General features: G+C 36.6%; 1 protein-coding gene across 11 annotated transcripts in view, besides 1 other annotated feature; it reads right to left on the minus strand.

The window, feature by feature from the left end:
• LINGO2 (leucine rich repeat and Ig domain containing 2) overlaps positions 1-17917 on the minus strand; it is a 1275985-nt gene that overhangs the window by 1025514 nt on the left and 232554 nt on the right. The gene's annotated exons all lie outside the window — the stretch shown is intronic.
• Positions 7015-7938: an enhancer, noted in NCBI's record as "OCT4-NANOG-H3K27ac-H3K4me1 hESC enhancer chr9:28970143-28971066 (GRCh37/hg19 assembly coordinates)". NCBI's record gives its function as "activates a minimal SCP1, AML or CMV promoter by ChIP-STARR-seq in naive H9 embryonic stem cells {active_cell/tissue: H9 hESC(naive)}" and the evidence as "EXISTENCE:reporter gene assay evidence [ECO:0000049][PMID:30033119]".

The raw sequence follows: 17917 nt of genomic DNA on the forward strand, positions 1-17917 counted from the left end.
TTGCATTACATGGAGATTCCACATCACAATAAGACATTTTGTACTAATACTTGAGAAGAGTATTGACTAACAGAACTTTCTGCAGTGTTGGTACTATTTTATATATCACTATAAGTATTTAGCATTGAGTTTTTAATTTAATTTTAATTAACTTAAGTAGCCATATATAGCTAATGGCTATCTAATTAGCACAGCTCAAGACTAGTACATTGAAGATAAGAAAAGATAAGTTTCCTATCATGTGATCAAGCAGTTCCACTACTGGGTATGTATCGAAAGGTAAGGAAATTACTGATCTATGAAAAGGATACCTGAACCCTCATGTTTACTGTGGCATTATTCACAATATCCAAGATATGGAATCAACCTAAGTATATATCAATGGATGAATAAAGCAAATGTGGTATATGAATACACACACACACACACACACACACACACACACACAGTGGAATACCATTAAGTCATAAAAAAGAATGAAATCCTGTCATTTGCAGCAACATGGATGCAAATGCAGGTCATTATGGTAAGTGAAATAAGCCAGGTGCAGAAAGACAAATACCATATATTCTTACTCACATATGTGAGCTAAGAAATTTGATCTTATGGAGTTAAGTAAAATGATAGTTATCAGTGGCTGGGAAGAGTGTGTGTAGGAAGAGGGGATGAATAGAGATTGGTTAATGGGTACAAACATATAGTTAGAAGGAATAAGTTCTAGTGTTTGATAGCACAGTAAGGTGATTACAGTAACAATAATATATTGTATATGTCAAAATAGCTAGCATAAAAGGTTTCAAATATTACCAAGACAAAGAAATGATAAATGTTCAAGGTGATGAATATCCCAAATATCCAGATTTGATCATTACCCATCTAATTGTGTCAGATACTTTGTCAAGTGAAGATGCAAATGATATGTGTGCATATATATGTGTACACACATCCCCTCTACATACATATATGTACACACACACGCATATATATATATACACACATACATATACATATTCTGTATAAGGAGCTTATATTTATCACAGTCAAGGACAATTTGTGATACAGAATATCCAGTTCAGAAGTTATATGAACTAGATTATATGAAATTATATGAAAAATCACTGTGTCAGTATTACAGAACAGAGAAGGGCACCTAACTCAGTCCCCAGTACCTGTGGATGATAGAGGAAATACACCAAAAAAGCTTCCTATAGGGATGTGTGAGCTCAACCTTAAAATTAAAGCAGTAGCTGATTAAGAAAAAAAGTATAGGGAGACCTTTCCAGAATATTAGCTAAAATATTGAGGCAAGAAGCATCATGATATACATGGAAACCTCAAAGCAGTTCTGCTTTTCTCAGCTAGTTTGGGCAGACTATTTAGGACTAGTATGCTCTGTTTAAGAGCTGGGGTGTTATTCTGTAGGAATGAGAAACCACCGACGAGTTACAAACAAGGAGTGACATAGTCAGATTCTAGTTTTAAACAGATCATTGTAGAGACAAGGTAACCAGAAAGGCAACCAGTTAGGGTAATTTTGCAATATACTATGATAGAGATATTAGAGGCCTGAATCAAGCTATTGTCAATGAGGGTGAACATGAGGAAACAGAGTAGAGAAATAATTAAGATTAAGTTTTGGTATAATCCCTAGGCTTAGTAGTTTAGAGAACAAGATAAAAAGTTTAGTTTTAGGTAAATTTAGTATACATGCCTATGAACTATGCGCATGGGATGGTCTAAGATAGGGAAGGAAGCAACTAGGAAGAAGAAAATATTTCCTGTGCAGTTTCAGAACTTTTACTTCTCACCAACACTAGTATCTCAACTCATGAGCTACCAGTTTATATAAAAAATATACAATTTTAAAAATAGAAGATAAGAGAATAATCTTATATTAATCTTATATTAATTTTAATAATCCAAATAATCTGTCTTTTGGAGCTAAGTTGGCATTTTATGCATCAAATGGTAAAGAGTAGAAATGACATGCATTCCATCCTGATAACGAACAGGTAGAGTTCGGGATTTATTTAATTACAACAATTCTTAGGATAGAAATTCAAGAGGTAACTTAAAATTTATTTGCCCCAGATAAGTAGAAAGTGAATAGTGAACTATTTACATAAAAGCATTATCTGAGTATTTTTATTTAAACCCAAGTAACCAGAACACTAATATCAATTGATATTACTAATCTCTCTTGACCCCTTCCTTTTAAAGGAAACAAATACTAGGATTTTATTTCATGAAACTTTCAAAACAAAAGCAAAGTCCAGGGTATAACTGGGCACAAGAAAACATTCATTCCCGTTTCCTACGTATTTAAATCACTGGACAATGAGGATTAATATTCAGAATCATGTTTCCTTCGCATTGTAAGTTCTGTAATTAATGCTTAATTTTTACCACTATATTCTGCTTCCTGAGAAAAGGAGATTTATAAATGCTCATTTAAAAAAGCTTACCCAGAGAGGGTCAATACAATAGGTTTTCCAGCATAACATACAGTTAATTCAATCAGTTAGTGGGAACAACTCAAATACTACTTCTTAAAAATCACTTGAGCTCCCTTTTATGATTTTTAATACCTTAAACTATCTTTAATCTTTATGACATTTCCAGACAAAATGGTAGTAATGATTGATCTCCACTGATCAAACACAAAGTAACTATATAAAAGAAATAGAGAAACTATAAGTAAATATAAATATATCCATGTGGCAGAGTAATTCTCAGGCCTAAATATGTCTTCACAAGGGCTGCATAGGGAAAATTTAAGTACGAATTTGTCTAGACAGGATATTTTTGCGAAGCAAAGCTAAAAAGCCCCAAAAGCCAATTTAAATGACTAGTTTTATCCCACTTGTGTGCCTGTAGAAGCTCAATCCACAGACCTATTGATTTAGATAATCTATGGATAGAGAAAAATTTCCTTTCAGCATCTTTCCAAAAGCTGCCCAGAGGAAGGTGATTGGCCCCTTAGGCTTGTTGACATAAAAGTTGAGATTGAAAGGCCACCTCCTCTCAAACTGTGCTGAATGTCCTCATCCTGAGAAATTAAGAGGCTGAAAAAACTGGCTAATGTCTGAAAAGCAGAGATTAGAACAAAAGAGTAAGAGAGGTTGAGAAGCAGGGTAAGAATCGAGGCCTCTTTACCTTTGAAGAACTATGAACAAACGGTTAGAGAATCACACAGTAATAATTAGTAGCACTATTCTTATATTTTTATTCCTTAGATGTGGCTTGTTTTCCAAAGAATTCCATATATTTATCTATTATAAACTGTACGTCAACTTTGTCAGGTAGGCAGTGGATATTTTTTTTCCAGATAAAGCAAGGTTGGTGATAAAGCAGCTTACAAACGAATAGCCATCATGCGTTAGTCATATATTAATTCTCACACTCATTATGTGAAATATGTAGTACTATTACTCCTATCTTATGCATGAACACACAAGTATATAGAGATACCAATTGACTTGGTAACTTATGTCACTTAGCGTATGGTAGAGTTAAGGTAAAACATCTAACTATCCTGACATGGAGCATATTTTGTTTATTTGTTTTTCAGTAGACCACATCGCCTCCCATGAAAGAGTTTAATGTATTCCATAAAAGTAATGTAGAGTCCCCAGGATGAACTGCTTTCAATGTCAGGAAGAGTTCTTTAAACAACAGTTAAAAGCAGCATTATTTGAAAAGAAAAATAAGTAGAGTATATTGTTTTTGCCTTTACCGAGAGGTAGGGGGTACACTTTTAACTAATACCCACTTACTGATGCATAAAATTGAGTCCTCCCTTTACTTAAAGAATAGAGAAACATATATTGAGAGCTGAGTTATGTGAAAGCTGCTTATGATCATAATTACTCTTCAAGATTTCACCCATTTTGGAAAAGAAGAAATGAGGCACTGACGGTATTTCACGCATGACCATACAGTCTGCAAGCTGTGGGACTAGACTGTATCTCTAATGCCAACTGCCTTACACTGAAAATCTTCTGTTTCATGAGCACCCCTAGAGCTGAGTCCTACTTGCCTTGTTTGTTATCTGCCTTGAGGCCCAAGGCAGTGCCCAATTCACACTCAAATTTGAGGGCTTTGCTGAGTTCTTATACCTAACACAGTTCCCAAATAATTATTTTTTGAAAGACTTAGGAAAATGGCATGAAGTAGAGCCTAAAGAATTTAACTGAAGCAATATTGTAAGGAAAAGTCAGTGTTGGAGAATACAAACTATCCTACCACTAGGCCAAGAACCAGTTCCTAGGGGACTGAAGAAAATGAGAAAACTGAAGCAGAAGGAAATAAACCTTGAATCATTTCTGGTAGTAAATGTGAGAAGAATAAAACCAAATATGACCTGGGGCATTCCTCCACATTTCAGTCACCTTTTCTTTTAGAGAGAGAAGCTAGTTGCATGGGATGATCATGTTATTACTGTTGAATTTCTGACTTTTTGCCACCTACATCATTCAGTTATGTTTTATCACCTTTTATTCCCCCTGGCAACAAGATTGACCATTAGTCTGAGTTGACTCTAGATATCTAAGGGAAAAATGTTATAATTCATCAACATAGTCTTGTCAGACAAGGTTAGGATGTATTTCTGATAGACAGGAAGGGAACAGGTGTTTTTAATATCACTAAAACTGTAAGATGTATAGCATACAATCTATTTCTTCTCTTTCACCTCTAGCAGAGAGCGAGAAAGAGAAAGAGAGAAGACAGAGAAGATTTATGCAACTTCTTGATCATTTTCAAATAAGTTTTCATAAGAAGCTTTAAGGAAGTTTTATCAAAACCCTAATATTAAGTAAGTACTACTTTGTTTTATTCAAATAACATACATATATTAATGAAGTCTTGCACACCAAATTGAACATTGGATTGAACTTTTAAGTTTATATTATTTGACACCCTGAAGTAGACTTTTCAGTCATACTTTTATCTGAACTTTATAATGGACTAATGAAATCACTAAGAATGTTATAAAACTAGAACAAAATTTGCAACATTTAACAGATGAGCCACAGATCACAGACATCGGTACAAAATTGATAAATAATTAAACAGATCTTTTAGACTTACAGAAAATAGACATGCCGAGTTTTTGCTCTAGAAATTGATTATTAGGACATTTCCCTTTCAAAAACTGGAGTGGCTGGGCTATATCTCCTTTTACTTTGTTACAAAGCCTGGATCCCTTTTATCCTGTTACAATGAACTAGGAGATGAAGAATCACAGTAGATCCCAAGTGACTTTCCCAGGGCTAAATTGCAAGCAAGGTTTCTTCAGGTGTTTCTTGTTAAAGTAAAAATCTCATTGTAATGAAATTAATGTTTACTTGTCTATCTTACTTACAATATTAGAAGCTACCCTACCTTCTTAAAGGTAAAAATAATGTTACACTTCACTTTTGTACTTCAAAAGCCTATGACAGAGCCTGGCATATGTTAATAGCATGTAATAGATGTCTTTTGGATGAATTGGTGTTCTTTTAACCTCTGTGTTCCAATATAAATGCAGAGAATGAATTAGATCTCAGAAGTCCTTTTTTAGGTATTAAACTTCATATCCCAGATTCCATAACTAGTTTCATTTTTAAAACAAAGAATTATCTTCATGTTTCTTGGAACTTGTATTAATTTTGATGTATAAAGTGCAATTTTAACACAGCTGATGATACCTTGAAAAAATGTGACATGGCAATCAGATCTTTATTGTTATCAAACCACGACAGAGTGCAATTAAGATATATGCCTATGGGTAATAATAGTTTCTAGTAGACACATGCTCCCAAAGGAACATAGTGATTCTTATCAGAAGTCAGAAATAAAAGAGAATGTGGGAGCACAAGTATATAACATAGTGATGCCTTCATTCAATCAATAGTTATATGTAAATTTTTTTTGAAAGTAAGACAAAATCATTAAAGAAAAAAATACTTGCCCTGGTAGAGATCACATTTTACTGGGGTTATAGATAAATAATAATAAGCATAGCATAGTAGTAAATTATTTATACATTAGAAGAAGATCAGCACTGTGTTAAAAAAATAAAAAGAGCAGATTAAGGCATATTGGATGTCTTATGTGACACAATTTTACAGAGTGGTCAGCACATCCCTTATTGAAAAGGTAACACTTGAGTAAAGTCTTCAAAGGAAAGACTAATATCTGAGGAAAAAAAATCCAAGCAAGAGTAACAGCAAGTATAAAGACCAGGGGCAGGTAGTGGGCCCTGTGCTGGTAACTGAGACTGAAGCAGGGCTAGGAAAATTAACATAAATAGAAAGCAAAGTCTAAAAGGTAACGGGACATAGTATTACTTTGGCTTTTGAGCTGAAGAGAAATAAGAAATCATTAGATGTTTTTGAGCTGGTTTGAAATTTAAAAGACGACTTTGGCTTCTGTTTGAGAAAAGACTAAAAACAGGTAGAGGTGAAAGCAGAAAAACCAGTCAGGAAGTGGCTCTAATAATTCATTACCCTGTTCCTGATAACTTGGACCAGGGTAATGGTAGTACAGATAGTGAAAAGTAACAGGCTTTTGATTATGGTTTCCAAGAAGAACTAGAAGGATTTGCTAATGAATTGACGTGGGTATGAAGGAAGAGAGGAGATTCAAGAATGATTCTTAGGATTTTGCCATGGAGCACCCAAGAGTGGAGTTACCATTAAATGAAATGAAGCAGACAGTAGCTAAAGCAAAAGTTTTGTTTTTGTTTTTGTTTTCCTTTAGAAAATTAAAATATCATGTTTCTTTGTAATGAGTTTAGGATGTCTATTAGACATTTAAGTAGGCAGTTACATCTAGAAATCCGGAGCACAGAAGAGAGTTTGATCTAGAAATATGTGTTTATGATTCATCAGCATATACTTCGGATTTCTGACAATGAGATGTGTTCACAAAGGAAGACAGTGTACGTGGGAAAAGAAGGATAGGAAGGGGAAGAAAGGGAAGAGAAGGGAATAATAGTGAAGAGAAGAGATGAGGTCCTAGCACTAAGCTTAGGGCACATCAGTGTTAGGAAGGCCAGAGAAAAGAAGAGTGAGCAAAAGAGATTGAAAAGAAGTGGCTGATGAGACATGCTACTGAAGGGCCTAGACTACTGGAAACCAAGTGAAGAAACTGCTTTTAGGAAAAGGAAGACATTTCATTTGCATTTCAAAACCTCACCTTGGAGTAGGGAGCAAGATGGTAGAATACAAGATTCCACCAATGGTCCCCCTGAAAAGGACACCAAATTAACAAGTATTTACACAAGAAAAGCACCTTCATCAGAACAAAAAATCAGGTGAGCACTCACACTACCTAGTTTTAATATCCTATCCATGAAAGAGGCAATGAAGAGGTAGAAAAAATCTCGAATCGCTAATGCAACCCCTCCCCCACCCCCCAGCAGTGGCAGGGTGTGGAGAGTGTTTCAGTGTGCTGAGGGAGGGAGAGCACAGCAGTTATGAGGCATTGAACTCTGGGCCGTGTTGTTAGAGCAGAAAAGAAAACTAGACCAGACTCAGCTGACATCCACCCACAGACCGGAACATTTAGACCAGCCCTAGCCAAAAGGGAATTGCCAATCCCAGAAGTCAGAACTTGAGTTCCTGCGATCCTTGACACAATAGGCTAAAGTGCTATGGATCTCTGAGTAAACTTGAAAGGCAGTCTAGGCGACAAGGACTGCAACTTTTACAGGAGTCCTAGTGATGAACTGGGCCCAGAGACAGTGGACGAGGAGGGCACACCACCTATTGAGGCAACAGCCAGAGCAGTTAAGGAAGTACTGGCATCACTCGTCCCTAAAGCCCAGGTTGTGCAGCTTGCAGCTCCAAAAGAGACCCATTCTTTCCCCTTGAGGAGAGGAAAGGGAAGAGTGCAGGAGGACTGCCTTGCTTCTTGGATACCAGCTCAGCCACAGCAGGATACAGAACTGGTCAGAGTTATGAGAACCCTGTTCCAGGCCCAAGTTCCTGGACGATATTTCCAGACGCACCCTGGGCAAGAAGAGAACTCACTGCCTTAAAGGGAAAAAACCCAGTCCTGACAGCATTCATCATCTGCTAAGTGAAGACCCTTGGGCCTTGAATAATCAAAAGTAATACCCAGGTAATATGTCAAGGGCCTTAGGTGAGCCTCTGAGACTTGCTGGCTTCAGGTATTATCTTGGCCTCAGTGGCATAGACCACTAAGCAAGCCAGGATGTTGGGGTCCTAGATTCTAGGACTTGACTCTTAGATGGCATTTCTGGACCTGCCCATTGCCAGAAGGGAGCCCACTGCCCTAAAGGGTGAGTCCCAAGCCAGGTAGCATTAAGCACAAGCTTACTTGAGAGCCCTTGGGCCTTAAGGCCACATTGGTGGCAATTTGGCATTACTCTCTGTGGGCCTATTGTGGTGGTGGCCATAGGGTGTGGCTCCTCTGCCTTTTGAAAGGCAGGAGAAAGAGTGGGAGACTGCATCTTGTGGTTTGAATGCTGCCAGCTCAGCTGCAATTTACAATAGAACACCAGGTAGACTTCTAAAGTTTTTGACTCTAGTCCTTGACACTCAGATGGCACCTCTGGACTAACCAGGGGCCTAGCGGAACTTGGTGCCCTGAATGTAAGGACATAGGCCTGGCCACCTTTGCCACCTGCCAGTTGTAGAGCTCCAGGACCTTGAGTGAACATAGGCAATAGCCAGAGAATGGTTACAGCAGGCCTTGGGTGAGCCCCAGTGCTGTGGTAGCTTCAGATCTAACCTAGTACAGTCATAGTGGTGGTAGCCACAAGGGTGCTTGTGTCACTCCACCCCCAGCTTTAGGTTGCTCAGACCAGAGAGAGAGACTGTTTGTTTGGAAGAAAGTAAGGGAAGAGAACAAGAGTCTCTACCTGGTAATCCAGAGAACTCTCCCGAATCTTTTGGAAGACCATCAAAGCAGTACCTTTATGAGTCTGCAAGAACCACAGCATTACTGCGCTTGGGGTGCCCCCTAAAGCAAAAACAGCTTAGACCACAACATGCAAGTCCTTATGAATATCTGAAAAGCTTTCCTAAGAAGGACAGGTACAAACAAACCCAGACAGTAAACACTGTAATATATGCCTAACTCTTCAATGTGCAGACACAGATGAACATTCATAATCATCAACAACATCCAGGAAAACATGACCTCACAAAATGAACTAAAGATGACACCAGGGACCTATCCTTCCTGGAGAAACAGAGATATTGTGACCTTTCAGACAGAGATTTCAAAATAACTGTGTTGAGGAAACTCAAAAAAATTCAGGATAACACAGAGAAGGAATTCAGAATTCTATGAGCTAAATTTAACAAATAGATTGAAATAATTACAAAGAACCAAGCAAAAATTCTGGAGCTGAAAAACAGTATTGAAAAATACTCTGAAGAATGCATCAGAATCTCTTAATAGCAGAATTGATCAAGCAGAAAAAAAGAATTAGTGAGCTTGAAGACAGGCTATTTGAAAATATGCAGTCAGAAGAGACGTATTAGTCTGTTCTCATGCTGCTAATAATGACATATTGGGAGACTCGGTAATTTATAAAGAGAAAGAGGTTTAATGACCCACAGTTCCACATAGCTGAGGAGGCCTGAGAATCATTGCAGAAGGTGAAGGAGTAGCAAAGGCACGTCTTACATGGTGGCAGGCAAGAAAGCACGTGCAGAGGAACCACTCTTTCTAAAACCATCAGATCTTGTGAGACTTATTCACTGTCACGAGAACAGCATGGGAAAAACCTGCCCCTGTGATTCAGTTACCTCCCACCAGGTCCCTCCCACAACACGTGGGGATTATGAGAGCTGCAATTCAAGATGAGATTTGGGTGAATACACAGCCAAACCATATCAGGAGACAAAATAAAAAAGAATGAAAAACAATAAAGCATGCCTATAAGATGTAGGAAATAGTTTCAAAAGGGCAAATCTGAGTTTTCAGCCTAAAGGGGAGGTAGACAAGGACATAGGGGTAGAATGTTTTTTCAAGGAAATAATAACAGAGAACACAAACCAAAAGAAATATATCAGTATCCAAATCCACGAAGGTTATAGAACACCAAGCACATTTAAACCAAAGAAGACTACCTCAAGGCATTTAATAATCAAACTCCCAAAGATCAAGGATAAAGAAAAGATCCTAAAAACAGCAAGAGAAAAGAAACAAATAACATACAATGGTGCTCCAATATGTCTGGAAGCAGAGTTTTCAGTTGGAACCTTACATGCCAGGAGAGAGTGGTGATATGATTTGGCTGTGTCCCCACCCAAATCTCACCTTGAATTGTAATAATCCCCACATGTCAAAGACAGGGCCAGGTGGAGATAATTGAATCATGGGGGTAGTTCCACCATACTGTTCTCATAGCAGCAAATAATTCTCATGAGATCTGATGGTTTTAGAAATGGCAGTTCCCTTGCATAAACTCTCTCTTGCTGCTGCCATGTAAGATGTATCTTGCTCCCCCTTTGCTTCTGCCATGATTGTGAGGCCTCCCCAGCCATGTGGAACTGTGAGTCAATTAAACCTCTTTCCTTTATAAATTACCCAGTCTCAGGTATGTCTTTATTAGCAGCATGAGAACAGACTAATACAAGGTCATGGCATATTTAAAATGCTGGAGGAAAGCCACTTTTACCTTATAATAGTGTATCCAGCAAAAATATCCTTCAAACATAAAGGTTAAACAAACGCTTTTCCAGACAAACAAAAGCTGAGGGATTTCATCAACATGAGACCTGTCCTACAAGATATGTTAAAGTGAGTACTTCAATCAGAAGAAACGAACATTAATGAGCAATAAATAATTACCTGAGGGTATAAAACTCACTGGTAATAGTAAGTACACAAGACACACAAAATATTATAACACTGTAACTGTGGTGTGTAAACTACTCTTATCCTAAGTAGAATGACTAAATGATGAACCAATTCAAAATAGTAACTACAACAACTTTTCAAGATATAGGCAGTACAACAATATATAAATAGAGGCTGGGTGTGGTGGCTCACACCTGTAATCCCAGCACTTTGGGAGGCCAGGCAGGCAGATCACAGGTCAGGAGATCGAGACCAGCCTGGCCAATATAGTGAAACCCCATCTCTACCAAAAATACAAAAAAGTAGCTGGGCGTGGTGGCGGGCACCTGTAATCCCAGCTCCTCGGGAGGCTGAGGCAGGAGAATTGCCTGAAGCTGGTAGGTGGAGGTTGCAGTGAGCCAAGATTGTGCCACTGCACTCCAGCCTGGGCGACAGTGGAAGACTCTGTCTCAAAAACAAACAAAAAAAAGATATAAATAGAAACAACAATAAGTTAAAATGTGTGGGCTGGAGGAGGAAGTTAAGGCTTAGTATTTATTAGTTTTCTTTTTTATTGCTTATGCAAACAGTGTTAAAAATGGGAGTTCCCTTGTTATTAAAGTAATGGGTTATAAGATAGTATTTGCAAGCCTCATGGTAAGGTCAAACCAAAAAATATACAATGAATCCATAAAACTTGACTTTCATTTGAGAACACTAAGATATTCCAGACATTGCAAGTGGACACAGATGTCAGAATTTCATAGTAACACCAATGAAAGGAAAAATAATTAGTTTTTATTGAGTACCTGCTATGTGCCTGGTACTGTATTTGTATTATCTCATATCTAGCCTTCTACTTGCAAAGTTCTTAGACACTATTATCCCTATTTTAAAGATGAGAAAATCCTGACTCAAAATTAAGACATTTCCATTGTCATGAAGATAGTGAATAACGGAGCCAGAATTGGTATTCATTTTCATTGGACAAGTCAGAATTTCTTGGACTGTATTGCTTGCTTTGCTGTAAATGACTTGGTAACCTCAATGAGTAATTTGAAATATCTGGGCCCTAGGTTACTCAAATGTAAACATATAGAAGCTATCAACTGAAAGGACAATTGTGAAGGCATTAAGATGCACATAGTATGACTTCCTTAACTTCTGAAAAAGTACCGAAGAATCACACCAAGGTGCAAGATAAAGGCTTGAGGTTGCCTGAGGTTGGTCTAAGATGCTGATTTCTCAGCTACTGGTGTGATTTACACAAAAGAGAAAGAAAATTCTTAGGAAAAGCAGAGAAAAAAAACCCCCATAATTTATAGCCTCTAAGTTAATAGAAAGACAATGAACCTAATTAGTACATTTGACTCCAACTTAATCTATATTTTAAGGCTGATGACCTATGAACCTCAAGTAGTGACTCAGATGGTTAATGTAATATAAATCCAGGAGTAATAGAGAACTTCCAGAATGACTGTGGCGTAACCTAAACTTTTAATATTAGAAAAGAAGGCTACTGGCCTTAAAATTTCTGCTATAACTTGCCAGTGCCTAGTGCCACTTGCTCTGTGGCATACATTTATGAAATGGCACTGCTTCCTACATGCAAAAGTAGAAACAGCCATGTTATGCAAAATTATCTATGACATCCAACCCACTGGGGCTCATATACAACTTATGGTTTCATTATGCAGAATTATAATGGGTCTTAATATTCTATTACTCCTTGGCTCTAATACCTTTTCATCAACGTAAGGACCTTAAGATTAGGTCTTTGCTTAGATTGGCTAGCATTGTCACCCTGGAAACTCTAGTGTCCTATGGAATTACACAAATTGATAATCTAAAGATAGCAAGCATGTCAGAAATTTCAGAAGTAGTTACAATGTATTTGTTAATAATTCATGGTTAGCAACAGGGATATGAAATTACAAATGACTGAACTTCAGTTTCCTGATCATATATGATTACTTAAGTAACTGTAAGTCTTCAGCACTCACTGTATCAATTATGCAACATCTTAGGTGATTGATTTTTATTGGTCTCTGCCTGAGTTAACTTAATTTTTCAGTTGTCTTTCTTCCAGATTCTTCTTAGAATTGTTGTCAAACAAGAAATTAAATTATATTTTTCTCCCATTACCTACTTGTAGGCTGTGATCCTCCTTTGACAAGTCCAAACGCTTTTATCAGAGGATAAATAGATGGTGCCTTAAGAAGAGTAGAACTGAGACATTATTAAAGGTCAGGGGGCTGCTTTCTCAGTTTCCAATAAGCAAGTGGCCCCATCTAATTCCTTCAAGCATACCTGAGCTATTTTTCCTTTAAATATAAAGTAACAACATAGAACCCTAGACAGTGATCTCAGCTATACTTTTCTCTTTGTGCCTAATGTAAATGTTATTCCCAAACCATCTCAGAAGCAATAAACATTTAGTCCATTCATTGTCATACCATGATCTGGAGAAAAGTGGATCTAAAATCTGTACTATGGGAAGATCATGCAATTGATAGAGATAAGCATATAAGCCCACCACATAAGAATGTAACCACATTCAACATTGCACAATAACTGATTCTTGAGACTAAGCAATAAAAATTGCACCTGTTTTTAATCACTTCTTACTAGACTTAAATTTAAGGTACACTTTGTGACAAAAGGCACCATCATATTGAATTTCCCTCATGTTATCTATAGAGAAAACTATTTCAAAACACTGATAGGATAGGATCAGCTATATAAGATATTGGTGTTAACTCATAAAAATGCTGAGCTCTAAATGAGCCAAAGAACACAGTATTGCTATTTCCTAAGCTGCAGTTCAGGGAAGCCTGCATCATTAAAAAAAAAAGAATTCTTATCTCCAATTGATGTTTATTACTCTCAAGTTTTGAGGAAAAAAGGAATGAAATGGTCTATCAGTTCTCATTAACTCAGAATATAAAAATATCTGGTAGACTCATGGCAGATGGCTTGAATTAGTCATACAATGTGGCTAAGGCTTTAGTGGCAATTTATATTTTGTTAGAAGGAAATAACCAGTGATATACTGTCATTTCAGTTAGCGTTTATAAATGTAAAAAATAAGCTAACATTGAAAATTTTACTAAGGTCACCTTGCTCTACTTTTTCTGATTAGGAGTTCTGTAACTTATATGAATAATTTATTAGAAAAAGTTACCAATCTTCTCATAACTCAGGTACTCTGATGAGAAAAAATTTACAAACATAAACAGAATTCTAGGATAACTCACCTAGCAAAACTATGGTTAAAATAATGAAAGCCATGTAATACACATCCCAATAAGGGGCATTTGTCTATATTATATACAAATGGAGAACGGCTTCTGTCCTGCATAAGTTCCTTTTTTAATCAACACAGGGTAAATTTCTTATCTCTGTGGGAGGAGGAGTAGGCTTCAGAAGTTATTGCTTCATAATCCATAGGGATGTTTTCAGTTTACCAGACAGACTGTACTGATAGGTGTGAATTTTATAAGTTCATTATGTTTATGATTTTTGAAAGCATAAAGTGATTTTTAAATATTTTTCTTTAATTTTATAATAATAGCGACCTGCATTTCATACAATTTAATTTTCTGTTAACTATTTATAGTGTTATGGCACAGTTTTGCTGCATTGCCCTGATGTATGATTTCTAATTCTTTGGATATGACCAAATCAAAGCTCAAACTAAAAGAAATTTGTATATAAGTATACATCACTGTATACATACATGTAAAATGGCATTGTAAGATCCCGTTTTTCCCCGTAGATGGACATTACAGTTTAGTCCAAGCCAGAAGGTAATTGGGTCAACCACACCTGGACTCTGAGGATTTTAAATTCTAGTGTCAAAAAACTGCTTCTGACACATTGAGCTGAGCTGAACCTCATGCTAGGTTCACTGCGAGCTGAATTCTGGCTGAGCAGTATAAATGATGTGGCTGTCTTGAAACAAAGCCTTCTGAATTCTCAAACTGACAGGATCTATAAAAACTTGGAGAGAATTCAGAGGAAGCCATTTCCATAATCACAGAACTGGGAAGCCAGAACCACTGGAAAATGAAGAAACTTATTTTATTCATTAAGGGATAGTAGATGGCATCATTAAAGAAAAGTTATATTGATGTAAAAAAATGTTATTTAGACTATGGCAATGAAATCTTTTCCATTTCCACTATATATGTGAACAGTAAAATATTCTCTTTGGGGAATTGGAAATATATAAAAACTCCCTGAAACCCAAAGTCATTAAATATTGGATGTACTGGATTGTCAAATATTAGAATGAGTTATTAAGTTGAATGTGAAATCTGATGTTTTGGCAGCCCACATTAATTTTCTTCTCCCTGGGGTGGAGTGAGAACAACTGTAACTAAAAATAGTGCTTTTGGGCTAGATTAACAGCCAATAGTATATTCATGCAGCACAATTTCCTGGGTATTTCTGTGCCTATGATAGGGTATGTTGTAGCAGTTATTGGAATCCTACATCTTCTTTCCAGTCAACAGTTGTGAGGCTGTGGGGAGGAAACCTAATTAAATTTCAGTTTCCTCCTTTTATAAAATGGGAATAATGCTCTAGAGATTGCTGACAGGAAAATAAGAAAAAATGGAATAAGTACTTGTACAATGCCTGACACATATTAAGTCCTCAATAAATATTGAGAGTATTTTGTTTCATTTTAAACTTAGATGAAATAATATAGAGATGTTGGGTACAACAGTAGAATTCACTATGGCCAATTTTTCTTTCTCCAAAGCTTTTCTGCTTTAATCAATGCCAAGCATTACAACTGAGTCTTAGAACACAAAAGAACACAAGCAGGATAACAAATGAAGTAAAATTATCATTCTATTTTATCCCAGGAAAAAAAATATTTCCAACACAGATATTCTGAAGAGTGTTGAATAAATTATGTATATTCTCTCAGAAATAAAATGAATATTCTCATTTTAGTCTGTAAAAGTATATAGTCATACATTGATTGTAATTATTTTTATTCCAAATATCATTTAAATGAGGGTATAGGAGTCTTGAATCCACAGGCAGGAGTGAGACTGAGCACTAAAAAACAGAAACTTCAATACTATCAGAACTGTCCAATATTTCTCTCTTCTACCCTGCTGTCTGCTCTTTTGTTTTTAATCTTTTTTTATCTCTTCCTTTCTGTCTCGGGCTATCTTAGTGTTTGTTTCTCTGTTTTTGTCTGCTTCTTTGAGCTATAATTTGAAAAAAATGCTGTCTTTAGTTCCTTCATTTTTAACTTATGGGCAAAATTTCCAAGGAAATACTACATTTTATTTCTTAACATTAGCACCAAAACTGTCAGGTAAGAACCATGATTAGACAGTGACAGGAAGATGTCCACCCATGGATCTCTCTAGTGTACCATATGGTGGCTTTCAAAGTAGCTATGGGTGGTAGAAAAGGTAAAAAGGGATATTTCCAAAAAGAGAGCTGATGCTGGGTTAACAAAACAAAAAATGTCCACTTCAATATACACTCATGTCCAAATATATCACATATATAGGAATATATGTTTTGTATACATATATTTTATTTTACACACACACACAGACCCACACACACACGTGGCCTTGAAATACTCAAGGCCCCGTATATTCCAAATGGGACCTTTGGCTATTTCAATAGATTTGTATGCTGATGTCTAGATTGAATACTATACATTGTTTATTATACATATGCGGGACTATGCCATACTCATATGAAAAATGAAAAATCTATACATTGATGCTACAAAGTAAAAAAAGAAATCTCAAATCCACTAATTATAACAGTTTTCTTCACATTATGGATTTGTCCATTGAATCGTGTGCTGGACAAAATAAATGTAATAGTCCCATTCTAATTTAAATAATATATCGCTTTTTGATATTTGACTGTCACATTTCAGCTCAGGGAAAACAAGACATTATATTGCCGTTCAAATAAGCTATGAACAAAATATCAGTGACTTCTGTATCAGCCATATTCATTTCTAAATGTTTTATGATGTATAGCCAACATTTATTGCCATCTTCACATAGAAATATAATATGTATAATCCCATTGGAACCACAAGCAAACAATGTCTTGATCTTTGCTCCTCCCAACCCAGTCTGCCCTTCCAACAGTGTTTACAACTTAAAAAGGCAAATCCATTTTCTGAATCCTTGAGCAAAAATTAATGACCTTTTTTCCTTCACACTGTAGATCCAAACCATCACCAAACCACATGACTCTACCTTCAAACACATTCAGAATCTTCTCTCCAGCTTCATAATGACCACATAGGGCCCAGCCAACATCTTCTCACCAAGAGTATTGCAGGAGGCTTCTAACTGATCTCCATACTTCCATCTTTATGTCTCTATAATCCATTTTCAATAGTAGCCAGAGTAATTTTTTCAAAAATTTTAAATAAGGACATCAGTCTTTTGCTCAAATCCTTTCAGTGCTTCTCATCTCAATCAGAAACAAAGTCTGTATGATGGCCAGAAAGACATACAGAATCCACAACCCCTCCCCAGTTACACCTTCCACGACGTCTCTGGAGAAGAGTTTGTTAATTTCCTCTTCTCTCCTTTGCTTACTCCATTTCAGCCACATCAGTTTATTTTATCTCAAAAACACTAGAAACACATGCGCCTCCAGGCCTTAAGACTTGCTATGCTCTGTCTGGACTGCTCCCGCCATCTCCAAATGGCCCTGTCTCTCTTCTCTTTAACTATTTGCTCAAAGGTCGCCTGCTCAGGGAGTCCTCTGAGTCCACTCCATTTAAAATTTGAGACCTCTCGCTCCTTATCCTTCTTCTCTGCTTCATTTCCTATATCTTGTTTATTACCATCTGGCATACTCTGTATTTTATTATTTTATTTTTTTATCATCAATATCCCCCTACCCTATATGAAGAATGTAAACTCCATAAGAATGGCAATTTTTGACTGTTCTGATAACTGTTGTACCATAATTGCCTAGGTTTGTGCCTGGCATATACTGGATGATCAATAGATGTTTCAGTTGAATAAAGTAATTATTGAGGAAGGAGGGGTGAAACCGTACCTTACTGGTAATACACAGCCACTAGCATTATGAACCATATTTC

Source organism: Homo sapiens, chromosome 9, assembly GCF_000001405.40.
Source record: "Homo sapiens chromosome 9, GRCh38.p14 Primary Assembly".
Lineage (NCBI taxonomy): Eukaryota > Metazoa > Chordata > Mammalia > Primates > Hominidae > Homo > Homo sapiens.